This window comes from Homo sapiens, chromosome 1 (genome assembly GCF_000001405.40).
Source record: "Homo sapiens chromosome 1, GRCh38.p14 Primary Assembly".
Taxonomy (NCBI): domain Eukaryota; kingdom Metazoa; phylum Chordata; class Mammalia; order Primates; family Hominidae; genus Homo; species Homo sapiens.
Window position 1 is genome coordinate 195,498,226 of NC_000001.11, and position 17,162 is coordinate 195,515,387.

At 34.0% G+C, this 17,162-nt stretch overlaps 1 long non-coding RNA gene across 1 annotated transcript in view; it reads left to right on the forward strand.

Moving 5' to 3' along the window:
* LOC107985458 (uncharacterized) overlaps window positions 1–16,205 on the forward strand; it is a 32,947-nt gene extending 16,742 nt beyond the window's left edge. The window contains exons 2-3 of the long non-coding RNA XR_001737815.2: window positions 1,946–2,024; window positions 16,187–16,205. This is a non-coding gene — a long non-coding RNA (uncharacterized LOC107985458). The remainder of the gene's footprint in view (window positions 1–1,945; window positions 2,025–16,186) is intronic.
* The last annotated feature ends 957 nt before the right edge of the window (window positions 16,206–17,162 follow it).

Here is a 17,162-nt window from a genome sequence, read left to right on the forward strand (position 1 = left end):
CAGACTGAATAATTTGTGCAATGTTTGTCTGGTAATATACATAAATACATGGATTTTCAGCTGCTGAAATGCTTACATCATGGGCTATTTGAAAACAGCAGCTATATTTTAAGGCAAATAATTTAAGTAAGACCATTTTAAATATTTTTTAAAACTCACCTGGCTATCCATATATACTAATATAGGTGCAAGACAACTTCTCTTTCTTTGTGTAGTCTGAATTAAATTTCAAAATTCGATTTCCATAAAGGCTAGCCTTTTTGACCTTTCTCAAGCTGTCTAACCAAAAGGTTGTCTGCCTCATTACCATTAATAAAAAGAATGTGCTTTTAAAGTTTAACTAAATTATCTTAAGGGCAAAAACTGAATATAACTGTGATCTGTGGTTTTTCAACTAACTGGGTTTCTAAGACTTAGAATGGTTGATTGTTCAGCAAATATGAAGATTATTTTTACATATATATGTGTGTTATATGATTTCTCTTTTTTGTTAATCTTTGTTAGTTTTATTTATTGAATTACGAAAAACATGTTATTAGTCATTTTCAAACCTGAGCTCATAACATTAACCGAATTACTTAATAAAACAAAATATAATTTAATAATAATGAACATGACTGTTTACATGTATAGTTATTGTTATATATTATGTAAATAAATATATAGTATGTTATTAATATTGTATATATGATACATGTAATAAATGTAATATTTTTAATAAACATATGTTGAATTTACCAATAGAGGCCAGGGAGTTGAGTGCTGTTCTATATTAATTAAACACTAATTTAGAGAAAAACTTTAAAATTCTAATTCAGGACTTTCCACATACAGAACAATTTCATAAAATGTATGAGTTGTGAAGTATTTTTTCAACACAAAGAGATTAAGTCCTATGCCACTTGCTTATTTGTAAGCACATATTATAAATGCCTACTTATGTTTTAATGCTTAACAGGTATATCATTTTAGTAGCCATACTAGTGTTTTAATACATTTCTTTAATTTATCATACTTAATATTATACCTCAATATTGGGTAAATAAATGACCTTTACATCTGGATATGGCAGTTTCTGTCAGGTTGTTAATGTGAAAGTTGGAGTCAACGTAGTTGGAAGTTGAAAGTTGAAGTTAAGCTGAGTTTGTAATTCGTCATTGCTATAATTATCTCCAGTGCAGCCCATAATTCCATATCCTCTAATAGTTATCTCCTCTTGCCTTGAGTTCAGGGTGGGGGGTCCTGAAGGTTTCCTCTCAGTTTACCTGCTGCTCACTAACTTTCACTATTTATTGCTCACTTATAATACAGATAGGGTCTGTCTTCATGCTTTTGCTCCTCCTCCAGGGGTAGGTAAGTGTTTATTACTCAGTGCAAAACTTTATTGCAGGAACAGGGGTATTCTCTGTTGTCATAGGACAACTACAATCTTAGATGAATTCAAGTCTTTATGGCCTTGAAACTGAGGCTATTTTCAGATTTCCCTTCATACACCCCATCCCAGTCCAAATTCTTATTTTATTTTTAATTTTTTTTTAATCTTGAGAATGAGTTTTCTGCTCCTCTACAGGGATAGAAATCTACTTGGTTTAGATTTAGAGTTTTTTTGTTCAAGATCTCTGTTGTCTCTTACCCAAGATAGGGATTTCATTCCCTTTCTCCCTTTGAGCTTCAAAGGAAGTTTGACTTCATCTTGGGTATCACAGAGTTATTATTATTATTATATTTTATCTCTCCCATAGACCAGTTTTGTTTTTGCTCCTCTTGTAGAATCAACTGAATCAACTGACTTTTTTTTCTTTTGGGTTCTGAAGGACAAATATTTGCTGCTTCTTCCTCCACAGTTTATTTTCACTTCTTAGAAGAAAAGGTCACAGGTATATCAGCAGAGGTCTGTGCTCATTTGTAGCAACTGTCAATCATTTTGTGAACATTTGTCTTACAGAGGGAAGCTCTCTATGGACGACTGCCCCAGCCACATTGTTTTGTGAGAACACCCGATGGAAAACAATATAGAAGATCTTGTGAGTGTTTGGGACCCTCATCTTACATTTGAGACCCTCAGTTTTTCCAAACTTATATAGCAGCCCAACCTTTAGCTTTGACATTATTTTTTTAGGGTTTTACTGATTTTTTTTCTAATTTGTTTTTAAGAGTCTATCAGTTTCTTCTTCGCTTTGGCAAAACTGAAACAATTCATTTACACTATCATTATTCCAAGAGCATTTCTCTCTTTGAAAGTCTGGATAGTTATCTGTTGTGTGAGCTCAACTCTCTGATATGCTCAAGATATTTTATGATTTTGGAGATGATTTTTTCCTCATGGTTATGTTGGAAGCAGTATTATTTGCATTGTTCTACAACTTAAATGACTGGTTACCTTCTATTTTTATGCTTTCTCTTTGATTTTAGCAACTGGATTATGGTGTGTCTTTCTTCATGTTTCTTCTGCTTAAAATATGTTGAACTTCTTGGATTTATAGGTGTAGGAGGCAAAATAATGGGCTCCCAAAGATGTCCAAGTCCAAATCCGCAGAATCTGTTAATGTCTTATGGTACATGGAAAAGGAGAAGTAAGATTGCAAATGAAATTAAGATTGGTAATAAACCAACCTTAATATAACAGGTTATCATAGATCATTCCATAAGGCACAATGCAATTACAAGCATCCTTAAAAATGAAAGCTGGGGGCAGAAGAGTCAGCATCAGAGTTATGCTATGTAAAAAAGCCTTAAAAGGCCCATTATCGGTTTGAAGATGAAAGGGAGGCACATGCAAAGAAATGCAGGCAGCCTTTAGAAGCTGCGTAAGACAAGAAAACAGATTATACCCGGAACATCCAAAAATAAATGTGGTACTGCTGATACTTTGGCTTTAGTCTGATGAGACCCATTACAGACTTCTGACCTCAAGAACTTTAATATAACACGTTTGTGTCATTTTAAGCCACTAACTTCTGGTAATTGGTTACTGTAGTAGAGTGAAACTAATAGAGTGGGTTTATAATTTTGTCAAAAATGTATCAATTCTTTCTCAAATAATTCAAATTCTACATTTTAAAAAATAATTATTCAATAATTTAAATAAGCAATAATATTCAAATAATAAATATTCATTATTAATTCAAGTATATTTTGCCCTCTCCTCCTACCACTTTCTCCTCTTCTTCTGAGATTCAACTTACAGGCATCTCAGAGATATTGAAAGTTAGGTTCCGGACTACTGTAATAAATATTGCAATAAAGCAAGTCACACAAATAGTTGGTTTCCCAGTGCATATAAATGTTTTTCTTGCACTGTACCATAGCCTACTAAATGTACAACAGCGTTATGTCTAAACAAAGTACATATTTTAATTACAAAATAATTTATTGCTAAAAATGCTAATGATCATCTGACTCTTCAGCAATTTGGAGTATTTTTGCTGGAGGATCTTGCCTTGTTGATAGCTACTGACTGAACAGGGTGGTGGTTGCTGAAGGTTGGCATGGCTGTGACAATTCCTCTAAATAAGACATCAATGACATTTGCTGCCTTGCTTGACTCTCCCATTCACAAAAAATTTCTCTGTAGCTGGCAATGCTGTTTAATAGCATTTTGCCCACAGTGGAACCTCTTTCAAAATTGGAGTCTATCCTCTCAAACCTTGCTGCTTTCTAAAGTAAGTTTATGAAACAGTCTAAATCCTTTATTTGCATTTCAACAAAGAGCATCTTCACAAGGAGTAGATTCCATCTGAAGAAACCACTTTCTTTGCTTGTCCATAAGAAACAACCCTTTATCCATTCAATTCTTATCATATGCTTGTTGCAGTTAAGTCACATCTTCAGGCTTCATTTATAATTCTAGTTTTGCTATTTCCACACATCTGTAGTTATTTCCTCCACTGAAGACTTGAACCCTCAAAGTCATTTATGAGTGTGGAGTCAGCCTCTTCCAAACTCCTGTTAATGCTGATATTTTTATCTTCTCTCATGAATCACAAATGTTCTTAATGGCATTTACAATAAGGAATTTTTTTCAGAGAGTTTTTAAATTCACTAGGCCGAGATCCACCAAAGGAATCACTATCTATGGCATCTCCAACCTTACACAAGGTATTTCTAATATATTTATAAGACTAGAAAGTCAAAATTACTCCTTAATCCATGGACTTCAGATGTGGTGTTAGCAAACATAAAAATATTAATCTTGTACTTCTTCATCAGAGCTCTTGGGTGACCATTTACCTTGTCAATAAGCAGATTATATTTTTCTTTCTTTTTCCTGAGCAATAGGTCTCAACAGTGGGCTTAAAATATTCAGCAAACCATGCTATAAACAAATGTGCTGTCATCCAGGGTTTGTTGCTCCATTTATAGAGGACAGGCAGAGTAGACTTAGCATAATTCTTAAAGGCCCTAGGATTTTCAGAATGGCAAGCAAACACTGGCTTCAACTTAAAGTCATCAGGTACATTAAACACTAACATGAGAGTCCATCTATCTTTTGAAGCTTTGAAGACAGACGCTGACTTCTCCTATCTAGCCCCCAACCAACGGGGGCTGGATACCCACGGACCAATACTGGTCCATGGCCTGTTAGGAACTGGGCTGCACAGCAGGAGGTAAGTGGCCCACAAAGCTTCATCTGTTTTTACAGCCGCTCCCCATCACTCACATTACTGCCTGAGTTCCATCTCTTGTCAGATCAGTGGTAGCATTAGATTCTCATAGTAATGCAAACCCTACTGTGAACTGTGCATGCAAAGGATCTAGGTCACATGCTCCTTGTGAGAATCTAATGCCTGAAGATCTGTCACTATCTTCTATCGCCTTCTGATGAGAATGTCTAGTTGCAGGAAAACAAGCTCAGGACTCCCACTGATTATACATTATGGAGAGTTGTATAATTATTTCATTATATATTACAATGAAGTAATATGAGAAATAAAGTGCACAATAAATTTAATGTGCTTGAAACATTCCAGAATCATCCCCCTCACCCCTGTCTGTGCGTAAAAATTGTCTTCCATGAAACTGGTCCCTGGTGCCAAAAAAAGGTTGGGGACCACTGTTATATGGCATCTTCTTCTAATAGAAGGCTATTTTGTATGTGTTAAAAATCTGTTGTTTAGTGTAGCCATTTTATCAATGATCTTAGCTAAATCCTCTGGATGACTTGCTGCAGCTTCTGACTTGGTACTTGCTGCAGCTTCTGACTTGGTACTTGCTGCTTCACCTTGCACTTTTATGTTACAGAGATGGTTTCTTTCTTTAAAGCTCATGAGCCAACATCTGCTAGCTTCCCACTTTACTTTTGCAGCTTCCTCACCTGTCAGCCTTTTTAGAATTAGACAGAGTTAGGACCTTGCTCTGAATTAGGCTTTGGCTTAAGAGAATGCTGTTACTGGTTTGATCTTCTATTCAGACCACTCACATTTTCTCCATATAAGCAATAAGGCTGTTTTGCTTTCTTATCGTTTGTGTGTGTGTGGGAGTAGCACTTTTAATTTTCTTCAAGAACTTCTGGCATTCACAACTTGGCTAACTATTTCATGCAAGAGGCCCAAATTTTTGGCCTATCTCAGTTTTAGGCATTAAATCATTTCTACCTTTTGATTTAAAGTGAAAGAGGTGCAACCCTTCCTTTCCCTTGAATACTTAGAAGCCATTGTAGGGTTATTAATTGGCCTACTTTCAATATTGTTGTGGCTGAGAAATAGGGAGGCCTGAGGAGAGAAAGAATGACAAGAGAATTGCTAATCAGCAGAGCCATAACACACAAAATAATGAAAACGTTTGAAATATTGGAAGAATTATTCAAATGTCACACAGAGACATGAAGTGAGCACATGGTGTTGGAAAAATGATACCAATAGACTTGAGCAACTCAGGGTTACCACATTTCATCCTTTTGTCGAAAACATAATATCTGCGAAGAGTGATAAAGCAAAGTACAGTGCAAAAGGTATGTCTGCATATGATGTTAGACAAATTGAGAATAACTCACAACTTATTGGTGCTCTATTTAGTTTTTATTTTTCTGTTTTGCAGTCTTGTATTTATGCTATTAGGCTAATTTATTTTATTATGTCCTTTAAATGCAGTAATCTTGTTTCCTAAAGTGTTTAAGATACTCTTAGCCTTATAAAATGTATTTCTCATTTTTGATATGTTTTTCTCCACTAGCAGTTTTATTTCTCTCCTTATCACAGCTGTGTTTTCTTCTACTTTCCCAAACACATGGAAGATACTTGCATAGGCATTTTAATATCTGTGTTTACCTTTTCTATCATTTGGGTTATATCTGTGCCTGTTTCAATTGACTGATTATTTCTCTTGGTGATAAATGTATTTTATATTATTTTAGAATGCCTGGTGATTTTTGATTGGATGCTACACATTGTGAATTTTACTCTGATTGGTGTTAAATTTTGTTATGTCTCTAGGAATATCATTGAACTTTATTTAGATACAGTTAGTTTACATAGAATCCTCTGAAGTTTTAGAGACTTGTGTTTAAACCTTATCATGGTATATCCAGAGCAGTCTTTAGTTTAGGACTAATTTTGCACCACTTGTAAAACAGACTATTCTAAAGATTCTATGTGGTGTCCCACATTTGGGGAGGCTTTTTACCCTGGCTGGTTAAAGTATGACCTATTGGCCAATTTGTATGAGCTCCAGGGATTGTTCTACACATTCATTTACAGTGGTTTATTGCCTGGCTGCCGTATTGTATCACATTCATACATAGTTCAGGCACTCAGACAAAGCTTCAAGAGGGCACTTTTACAGAACTCCTGGCTTCTTCTATCATTACAGTGTTTTCCTCTCCATTATTTCACCCTCTAAATTGTACTAACCTCTGGATCTCTAAACTCTGGATCCTCAACACAGCTTGTGTTTGAGCTCCCTTATCTGTTTTTCAACTTGGAAACTTTCTCCAAGCAATAAGCTGGGTCAATTGAGAGCTTACCTCAATTCATTTTCCTTTTCTCAAGGATTTTTTGTGTTGTTTGTTTTCCAGTATTTGAGAACTTTATATCATATATTTTATTGATTGCCTATTTGAAGAAAAAAACCCAAATTTTAGTCTTTGTTACTACGTTGTCACCAGAAGCACAAATTCTTGTATATAAATTAGTTTCCTTTTTTTGTCTTTCCTCTTGTTTACCTAGAGAATATGAGTTTCAAAGAGCCAAAACAGAAACAAATAGAGATTATAAATCTCTAATTGTTATCAAAAGTCTTAATATGTTTAAAATTCAGTATAATTATTTCATAAAAGTCTAGATTAGAAACTAAAGAAATGTAGTGTTCTAGGGTTACATATATGCTAATTTATGTTATAAAATGCATCATATTAATGAGTCCTGAGTGTGTCTCTTTCCCAGAAAGAACAGAAAATGATATACAATGACACTAAAAAAAAACCTATTATGTTTTTATACAAACCATACTATGTAATATAAAGTTGTTTTAACAGCTAATATTTATTATAATAATTTCCATTATGAATAAAATAAATACTAATTTTAAACAAACCTTTACAAAATATCTCATTATATAAGGTATTTCTCTTATTTGATAAATGCAGGCAAAATAACTACTGATGTGATACTATTGGCAGATAAAATTTTGTTATTAAAACAAAAACTAAGTTTTACATTTCCCTATTATATTGCTTATAATTATTATAGAATTTGACAAAGGTAATAACCTCACCAATAAAATAATCGTATAAAAATAAACAGTTTAGTAAATCTATCTAAATTTATCTAAATAAATAAAAAAGAGTGTATAAAAATTATTCATAATAGGTATATTGGCCTGTAGTCCCAACTACTTAGGAGACTGAGATGGGAGAACTGCTTCAGTCCAGGAGTTCGAGTCCAGACTGGGCAAGATAGCAAGACCCTATCATTAAAAACAAACAAAAATAATTCTTTATAAATCTAGAAATTAGGAGTGCAGACAGAAAAGAATAATGGTCTATGAGAAGCATTCTTCCATATATACTAATAAGAAAATCATTCACAGAGGGAAAACAATCCTAAAATTTGTTTGAATCTTTCTTTACCTCTCAATTCTCATTATGACTGCATATGAATCAAAATAAAGGAATAAACAACTTAACTCATTAGGATTTAAAAAGTCCGATGGTTTTCTAGCCATTGGACTTAAATTAGAGCCAACTGATCTATCCTTTTGTTGTTAAAGAAACACAGGACTACTATGTTTAATCATTAATGCCCAAACCATTTGAGTTACTTTTTACTATGTGTAAAGGCTCCTAATGCTTTGGCAATGTCTAAACATTTGTTAAATATATAGTGCTGCTATAAACCTAAATAGTCATATGAACAAGAAAAAGAAATAAGTTATTCTGATTATAAATCTTAGTGATGAATATATTTTTTCTTGTCTGTTCTCTTTTTTGTACTCATAAAAATATTTATTTTCAAGTGAATTGTAAATATATTCATTAAAGACAGATAATTGTGCTTTCAGCCTTCTTAAAATAAAACTGGTAAAATTATTTTGGAAGTCCTGAGTGGGAAGGTGGGGGGACAGCAGGGCAAAAATGACTCCAAGGTTAAAAATAACATTAAAAGATGTTCTCAAGCCTGAATTCTTTTTCAAGAATCAGGTTTTTCAATTCTTCACAGACATAATTTGTGAAAATTTATTTTATGAATACTTTCCCTTAAGAAAAATGTTATCATCAGCCCCAGGCAAAATGTGCATTTACATGACATTGTTTGAGAGAAATTGGTAAAGCTTTAATGAATGAACATATATCATCCTTAGAATTACAAAAAGTTTTACTATTAATAAATGTTGTCATTCTTATCTCATTTAATTGTAAAATTGTATAGCCTCTATCATGGGTATATTTTCAGCCTATCCCTTGGATCAGTCCCTCTGGGGAAAGCACGCTGACATTTTTGAGCAGCCCTTGGAAGAAGATTTCATGCCGAAAACTGGTCTCTACCTAAAACCGGAGAAGACAAAAGCCCTTGGACAACCACATGAGTGACCTAAGCTATTCCCTTATTCCTGACACTCAGAAACTAAGATTGTAAATGATTGTTTTAAGCTCTTGAATTTTGTGATCTCTTTTATGTACCAGTAGATAACTAATGCAGTCTATAATGAATTTATAAAGAGACTGAGACAAAGGAGTACGTGACTTCGTAAAGCTACTCAGGCAGCTAATGACTATGCTACACACTCTTGCTTGCCTAAAAATGTTTATCCGCCAACATATCGCTTATTAATATAAACCCAATTAAGTTATCCTTCAGTGAAGAATGAACCTTTCACTAATCCCAGGTAAAGAATCTTTGTTGTTCGATATCAGTCATGGTAATTCAATTTTCTTGACATTAATTGTGAAACCAACCCAACAGTCCCATGGATGTTTCTTTGGATAATATAGAAATTGATCTTTCTGATCTTAAAGCTTGAAGCTTACATTTGTTTTATCACTATTCCTTCCTCAGGAAAGACCACCAGACCTCTGAAAAAGTATCAAAGAACTGAGACTCTCCAGGTCATCACATCTAGACAATAGGAGACCTCAGGCCCCTTATTCATCACGATTGCTGTCTTCCCTTCCTTAGTTCTTGTTTTCCCACACATAGTTAGATTACTTCCCTGCTATATAAATCCCTAATTTTAGTTGGTTAGGGATATAGATTTGAGCCTGATCTCTCATCTCTTTATAGCTGCAACATCCAGTTAAAGCCTTCTTCTTTGGCAATAATCATTGGCCCAGTGATTGGCTTTCTGTGTGGCAAGCAGCAGGACCTAGACCAAACCCCTGGTGTTTCAGTAACAACTGGCTGATATTTTAGAGAACAGTGTATAGCAAAACACTGGCCACCAAGGGAACATTATTGAAGCGCATCAAGTAAGTTCTTTTCCAATTATAAGAGATGTTGGATGCAAAATATATTTTTAATGTTTATTTATTTATTTACTTCTGCTTGGCATTATCATATCTGCATCTAATACCTGAAATTATTGGATCCATCTTGGGGACAAGAGAAGTAGTAGGCATGTTATAGACTTAATGTTTGTATCCTCTCAACATTGATATGTTTAAGCTCTAACCCCAGTGTGTTGGTTTTGAAGGTGGAGACTTTGGGAAGTAATTAGGTTTAGATGAAGGGTGTGTGGGTGGCCTTTATGAATTAGTGTCTTATAAAAGGAGAAGAAATTGGAGATCCTTCTCCCTTCTACTCCCTCCCACTTGCTGATATCAGGAAAGGCCATGTGAGGCTGCAGTGAGAAGGTGGCCACTTGCAAACCAAGAAGTTGGCCCTCGACAAGAACTGAATTGGCTGAAACCATAATCTTAGACTTTCCAGCCTTCAGAACTCTGAGAAATAAATGTCTGTTGTCTAAGCTACCCAGTTTTTGATATTTTATTGTGGCAGCGTGGACTGATTATAGCAAGGTTAACTGGAAAAGCAGAGAAAAATATGCAAAAATTATAAAATAACTCTATATCTCTCATATAGCACACTTGGCATACTGTTTAAGCTATTTCTGTTTATGTCTTTTGTCACCTGAAAGTATTTTCATGGATAAAAACATCAGAGTCAAGAGTAGAAGTAGCTAGTCAATCCTACTACAATTTTCTCTATAATTCATTTTTCTGGGTCCCAGCATGCTCTTGTTATGGCAAGCAATTGCCAATTTTCTCTAAAATTCAGGAATTACATGCAAGAACAGACATGGACAAGTATTATGTGTCATTGACTCATCAGCTAGCCAGGCTATTACTTTTTTTTTCTTTGTTTCATTTCTTGCTTTTTTTTTTTTTTTTTCTGAGATGGAGTCTCAGTCTCATTCTGTAGCCCAGGCTGGAGTGCAGTGGCATGATCTTGGCTCACTGCAACCTCAACCTCCTGGGTTCAAGCAATTCTCCTGCCTCAGCCTCCCGAGTACCTGGGAATACAGGTGCGCATCACCACACACAGCTAATTTTTGTATTTTTAGTAGAGATGGGGTGTCATTAAGTTGGGCAGGCCAGTCTTGAACTCCTAACCTCAGGTGTTCCACCTGCCTCGGCTTCCCAAAGTGCTGGGATTACAGGTGTGAGACACCATACCCAAGAGACTATTACTTTTTTACTATTACTTTTTTAATAGACTGTCTATCATGTTTCTAATAGCTGACATCTTTGCATGTAGCTCTACTTCTATTTTCTCTTTTAGGTTTTTGTTTATCTTCAGGCTATTTTCCTTGTGTGTTTTGACTGTGAAATAACCATTTCTTTTGACATTATATGTATGTTTGGTTTTTTGTGTGTTTATCGTACTTGGTATGCAATAAAATGCTTGGATGTGTAAGTGGATGTTTTTCATCAAATTTCAGAAATATGTCTCTGTTTTGTTTTATTTTTCTCAAGAAGTCATAATTTTTTATCTGATTTATTGAAAGACCAACAAAAATACTGGGTTATGGATTTTACTTCTGTTTTGGTTTTTCCTGTTTGTTTTTCATGATTAAAGACCCTTTCACCATCTCCACATAAATATGTATTTCCACATACATACAGTAGAATAACTGGAAGGAAGGATCACCTGTGGCCAAAAAATTTTTGATGTAATTATGGCTGCAAATATTATCTAGGCATATACCTCAATGTATTATTTTTGTTTCTGTAGTCTATTTTCATTAAATAAATATAAATTTTAATGAGGGCACAACTTGTGTTACTTTTTTTCTTAATTCTGGTAATAAATTTTATCTTAACACTATACACGTTGGGAACAAGCCCTCCAAAATCTGGCTGTAAACTGGCCCCAAAACTAGCCATAAACAAAATCTCTGCAGCACTGTAACATGTTCATAAAGGCCCTAATGCCCACGCTGGAAGGTTGTGGGTTTACCAGAATGAGGGCAAGGAACACCTGGCCTGCCCAGGGCAGAAAACTGCTTAAAGGCATTCTTAAGCCACAAACAATAGCATGAGCGATCTGTGCCTTAAGGACATGCTCCTGCTGCAGTTAACTAGCCCAACCTATTCCTTTAATTTGGCCCATCCCTTCGTTTCCTATAAGGAATGCTTTTAGTTAATTTAACATCTATAGAAACAATCCTAACGACTGGTTTGCTGTTAATAAATACGTGGGTAAATCTCTGTTCAGGGCTCTCAGCTCTGAAGGCTGTGAGACCCCTGATTTCCCACTTCACACCTCTATATTTCTGTGTGTGTGTCTTTAATTCCTCTAGTGCCACTGGGTTAGGATCTCCCAAACCGAGCTGGTCTTGGCAATACATATCCACTTCATTTTGAGTGTTTTCTTTCTCTTCTATCTTGGAATCCATTATTGGCTTCAACAAACTTTGTTTTAATTTTTAACTCAATTTTGAAATAGAACATCTCTATTCAAGGTCAGCTTTCACATTTAACATGGTAATTTTTTTTCTTCAATTGATGTCATAGTCTACTGCTATGCTAATAAATTTTTTTCTTTCTGAACATTATATTAGTGGTGGTTCTGCAAAGATCTTCATTTTTTAAGGATGTAATGATTAACTGGAATTACTCTGCATAAACTGAAAAGTACAGCTAAAAATGTATTCTGAATGTATTTTGTATAGTGATGCATATCTTCTGTGCAAGAGCAAATGCAAAATAACAACTCCTGCTGTGTAAAATTCCCACAAAACTTATTTTTCCCTTAACTATTTCCAACTTGATATTTCAGCATATACTGTTTTAATACCTTTCCTTTTTTTTTTTTTTTTTTGAGACAGAGTCTTGTTTGGTCACCCAGGCTAGAGTGCAGTGGTGCAATCTCCACTCACTGCAACCTCCACCCCCAGGTTCAAGCGATTCCCCTGCCTCAGCCTCCTGAGTAGATGGGATTACAGGCACCCGCCCCCGCTCCCAGCTAATTTTTGTATTTTTAGTAGAGACTGGTTTTTCACCATCTTGGTCAGGGTGATCTCAAACTCCAGACCTCGTGATCCACCTGCCTCAGCCTCCTAAAGTGCTGGGATTTCAGGCGTGAGCCACTGTGCCCGGCCAATGCCTGTCCATTTTTATTCAAGGTTGCATTACCATATGGAGAATTATTATTTGTAATAATATTAAAATTCTGTATTTTTTCCTTACTTTTAGTGAGCATTCTTCTAAAATATAAAGGGAGAAAACTAGCATGTTATCTGAACACATAAATTTTCTTCTGATTTTTTTCAGCTGCATTTGAACAGACACTATTATATGAGTATACATTAGGAAATTAGTCATTGACTATGAATAATTGTTGCTTTCAACATTGTTGGAGTAAAATTACTGATATGAAAAGAAAAGGATAAAGAGTAAGAGGGTTGTCTCTGGAGTAGGACTCCTTCTATCTAAGTCTTTATTCCATCGCATTACTAACAGAGTAATATTCAGCAAGTTAATTAATCCTTCTCTAAGTCTGCATTTTTCATTTGTGAAATGGAGTTCATATTGAAGCCTGACTCCTGGGGCTGATGTGAAGATTAATGAGGTGAATTGTGTTCTGTGATTATAAAAGTGTGCCTGGTGGGCTCTCACCATTATTAGTTATTATTATTTTATTATTTCTAAAGCCTACCAGCCTGCATGGAAGGATCATTCTTTGCTGAGTACTGTATTTCTTTGATATTCTCATGGGTAAGCAAAAGCATAGCAAATCTTTTCAGTTAGTACATACTGATATCCTCTCATTGGCCTATTGTTATTTTTGAATAATACCTCACTTTTAAAAGTGTTGAAACAGATGCAATAGTCTCATAGACAGGTTTTTTAGAATATATATAAACATACAAATTGACCCTTATGGTCTTAAACCTTGAAATGTATATTTATCTGAGTTCCTTCCTCAGGAAAGAAACTTCCAGCCTCTCAAATAATTATAAAAGAACTGAAACTCACCCGATCACCACATCCTAACAATGAAATGCTGGACCCCTCATTTATCATGATTGCTTCCTTGCTCCTCCTAGTTGCTGTTTCCTTACACATTGTTACATTTCTTCCCTGCTATATAAACCCCTGGTTTTATTGGGTGAGAGAGATGGATATGAGACTGAGCTCCCATTTCCTCAGCTGCAGGACCCGATTAAGCCTTTTTCCTTGGCAATAATTATTGCCTCAGTGATTAGCTTTCAGTGCGGCGAGCAGCAGGACCTAAACCGAAACCCTAGTGTTTCAGGAACAGTGTTTTAGTTTGTAAGGCACTTTCAAATCTGTTTTATTTGATATTCACAACATTTAAGTTTGTTAGATATTATTGGCTTGATTAGGTAAAGTAAATGAACCTGAGTTATATGTAAAAAAAAAAAAAAGGCCATAGAAATAATACAATTAAGATGCCACAATAACCCAGGTCTTGTCACTCCAAAATTCATGCTGCTTCCATTGGGTCATTTTTTAAAACATTATTTAATCACTAAAGATAAGACCATACAAAATATTCTCTATGTAAAACATAATATGACATACTGTGCTTTTCAGGAAATATAAAACTTAGCTCCTTAACCACATAATTTTTTAAAAGGCGCTTTGCATGTGTATTATACAATGCAATTTTCAGGAAGTTTAAACCTCAAAGTACAAATGGTTGTACAGTATCAAGCTGCCTTCCATAAGACAAGTGTTTGACTTTGTAAATATTTAATATATGTTTCACTGAATGTTCCAAAACTGCCATTAAGCGTTGACTAATATTACTCAATAAAATAAATAAATATTAATTTCTGGATGATGATATAATTAGCATAATTGCTCTTTAAAATGAGCATAATGCCTTAATAAATGCTATTATTAGAAATAGACAAAAATAGTTTTAAGATCTGTAGATAGGTAGTCTATACTCTGAAGGTATGTTTCTCCTAAATCACATAATCTATCTTTATAAACAACAGAAAACAATTTTGAATGTAGTCTATACACATCTAGAGTTACATGTACCTGTAGTAAAAGAAAAAATATGAAAATTTAAATTCATATTCTACATAATGTCATATGTAAAGATTACAAACTATAAAATACTATACACGTTGGAATTAGTAAATGGTTTGTTGTTGTTCCAAGAAAAAAAACAATATTTTTATTGTTGATTGATCTACCATGTAAAATTGTTAAGGATAAAAGTGGATATATTTATCCATACTCTTGAGAAAGTTGCTCTTATATAGAGAAATGACGTTTCAAATGTTTTAATTCTATTTTCTTAACAATTATATATTTAAATTCAGATTTATAGAGGTTCAAACTACAATATTAAAAGTTGATGTTTTAACTGGTTAAAGAGAATTTAAAACTATTATTTTCTTTTATTATGAGTACAAAAATTATTTTCCATAAAGCTGTTGTCTAGTCATGTTTTGAAAACAGATCCTTCCACTTTGTTATTTGGAGTATAAATTTGAATAAATATAATCTGCATATTATTTTAACATACAGATAAAACTTGCTACAAAATATCAATGTAAGATATTGGCTTTTGTTTTGTTTTGCTTTGTGTTATTTTTTTCTGAAACGTATAAGGTACAAAGTGGAATTAAGTAAACGCATAGAATATTTCTAGCAATGTTTAAATATTTTGCTGGTAATCTGCAATTGTAAACTGTTGGTAATTAACACAAAGGGGATATCTCATAGAAACTCCAGAAGGCTAGGTTTCAATTACTTCCAAAAGTGTAGTACTTCTTTCCTTTCCCTGACAAATATTTGTTGAATATGAATATGACTACATGGTAAGCACTGTTATTGAACGTGCATACAAGGCAATGAAGAAAACAGTTTAACTTTTGAGCTCTTGGAGTTTACAATTTAATGGGGAAGAAGTGAAATATAAAAATATACATATAAATATCAGGTCCAAAATGAAATTAAATGAAATAAAGCAGGGTAAGATGATAATGAGTGCCAGAGAAGAAAATTACAATTTTATATCATGTGCTGAAACCAAGTTTTTTCATAAGTGACTATTGATAGGAGGCCTAAGAGCAGACAGAGAAAGTATGTTATGCAGAAATCTGGGAAAGGAATATTCCAACTGGAGTAACAGAAAGAACAAATATACTACAATATTCAAGATGAAAGGATGAACCTTAGCAACTTGAGTGTAAAATACAACCAGAGGAATATGCATCAGTGTATCTCTTGAAGAGGATTAATACTGTAAAACTGGTATGTTCATAGGAACTCACTGCTGGCAAAACAGGAATGTGCAGATATGGAAAATGTTAGAAGATCAAGGTCTGATGGCAGAATCAAGGGAAAAACCATGATTTGCTGGGTCATTAAACATGGTGAGTAAAGCAAGTTGCTAACTGAAAATGGCCCTCAATATCCAGGCTTCACATGCAACATGTTGTGTGAAAATCAGGTTATCTAGGAATTAAACTTCTGAATAACACCCTATGCTTAAAACTGTAAAACACTGTCATAGATATGTCCAACTTTGAACATTTGTTGGCAAAATTCACAGCCTGGGACCTTCAGAGAATAACTTTTCTCATACTCCTCATATAGAACACTCCCAAAGCAGAGAAGAATAAAAAATAAAATATGCTTAAGTATTATATTTATACATATTTGATTTCAATTTGTACTATCCAAGCAGATATAAAGTAGCCACTCTTTTATAAAGTGCATGTAACATTACAATCTATTTTTTTAACCATTAGAGTTGTTCAAATGCATTCATGTTCATCATATGAACTAAAACAATTCATGAAGATGCAGAATATTCTCTATCATGGTTTGATCTGTCATATTCACATCTCTCTAGGTCACCACGCACTGAAGTAAATTGACTTTAATGAATGAGGAGCTAAGGAGCTAACTTATTAGCTGGAAATTTCCTGAGATTAAAGGATTTCAGCTTGACTTCAAAAACTTTATTAAGCAGAGACTCATCATTTATCTTAGCTAAACTGTTGATAGAGATTTCTAGCTTTCATTTATATCTAGATTAAATTTTTTTTCTTTTTGCTTTGACTTATCAGATTCTATTTTTTGACTTATCAGATTCTATTTTTATAGAAAATAAAATTTAAATCCAATATGTCTTATTTATATAGTATCAACCCTTCCTCTGGTATGTGTTTATCACTTAGAACTTGAATATCCCAGACCCTCAGCAAATATACTGTACTATACTATATTATGTGGG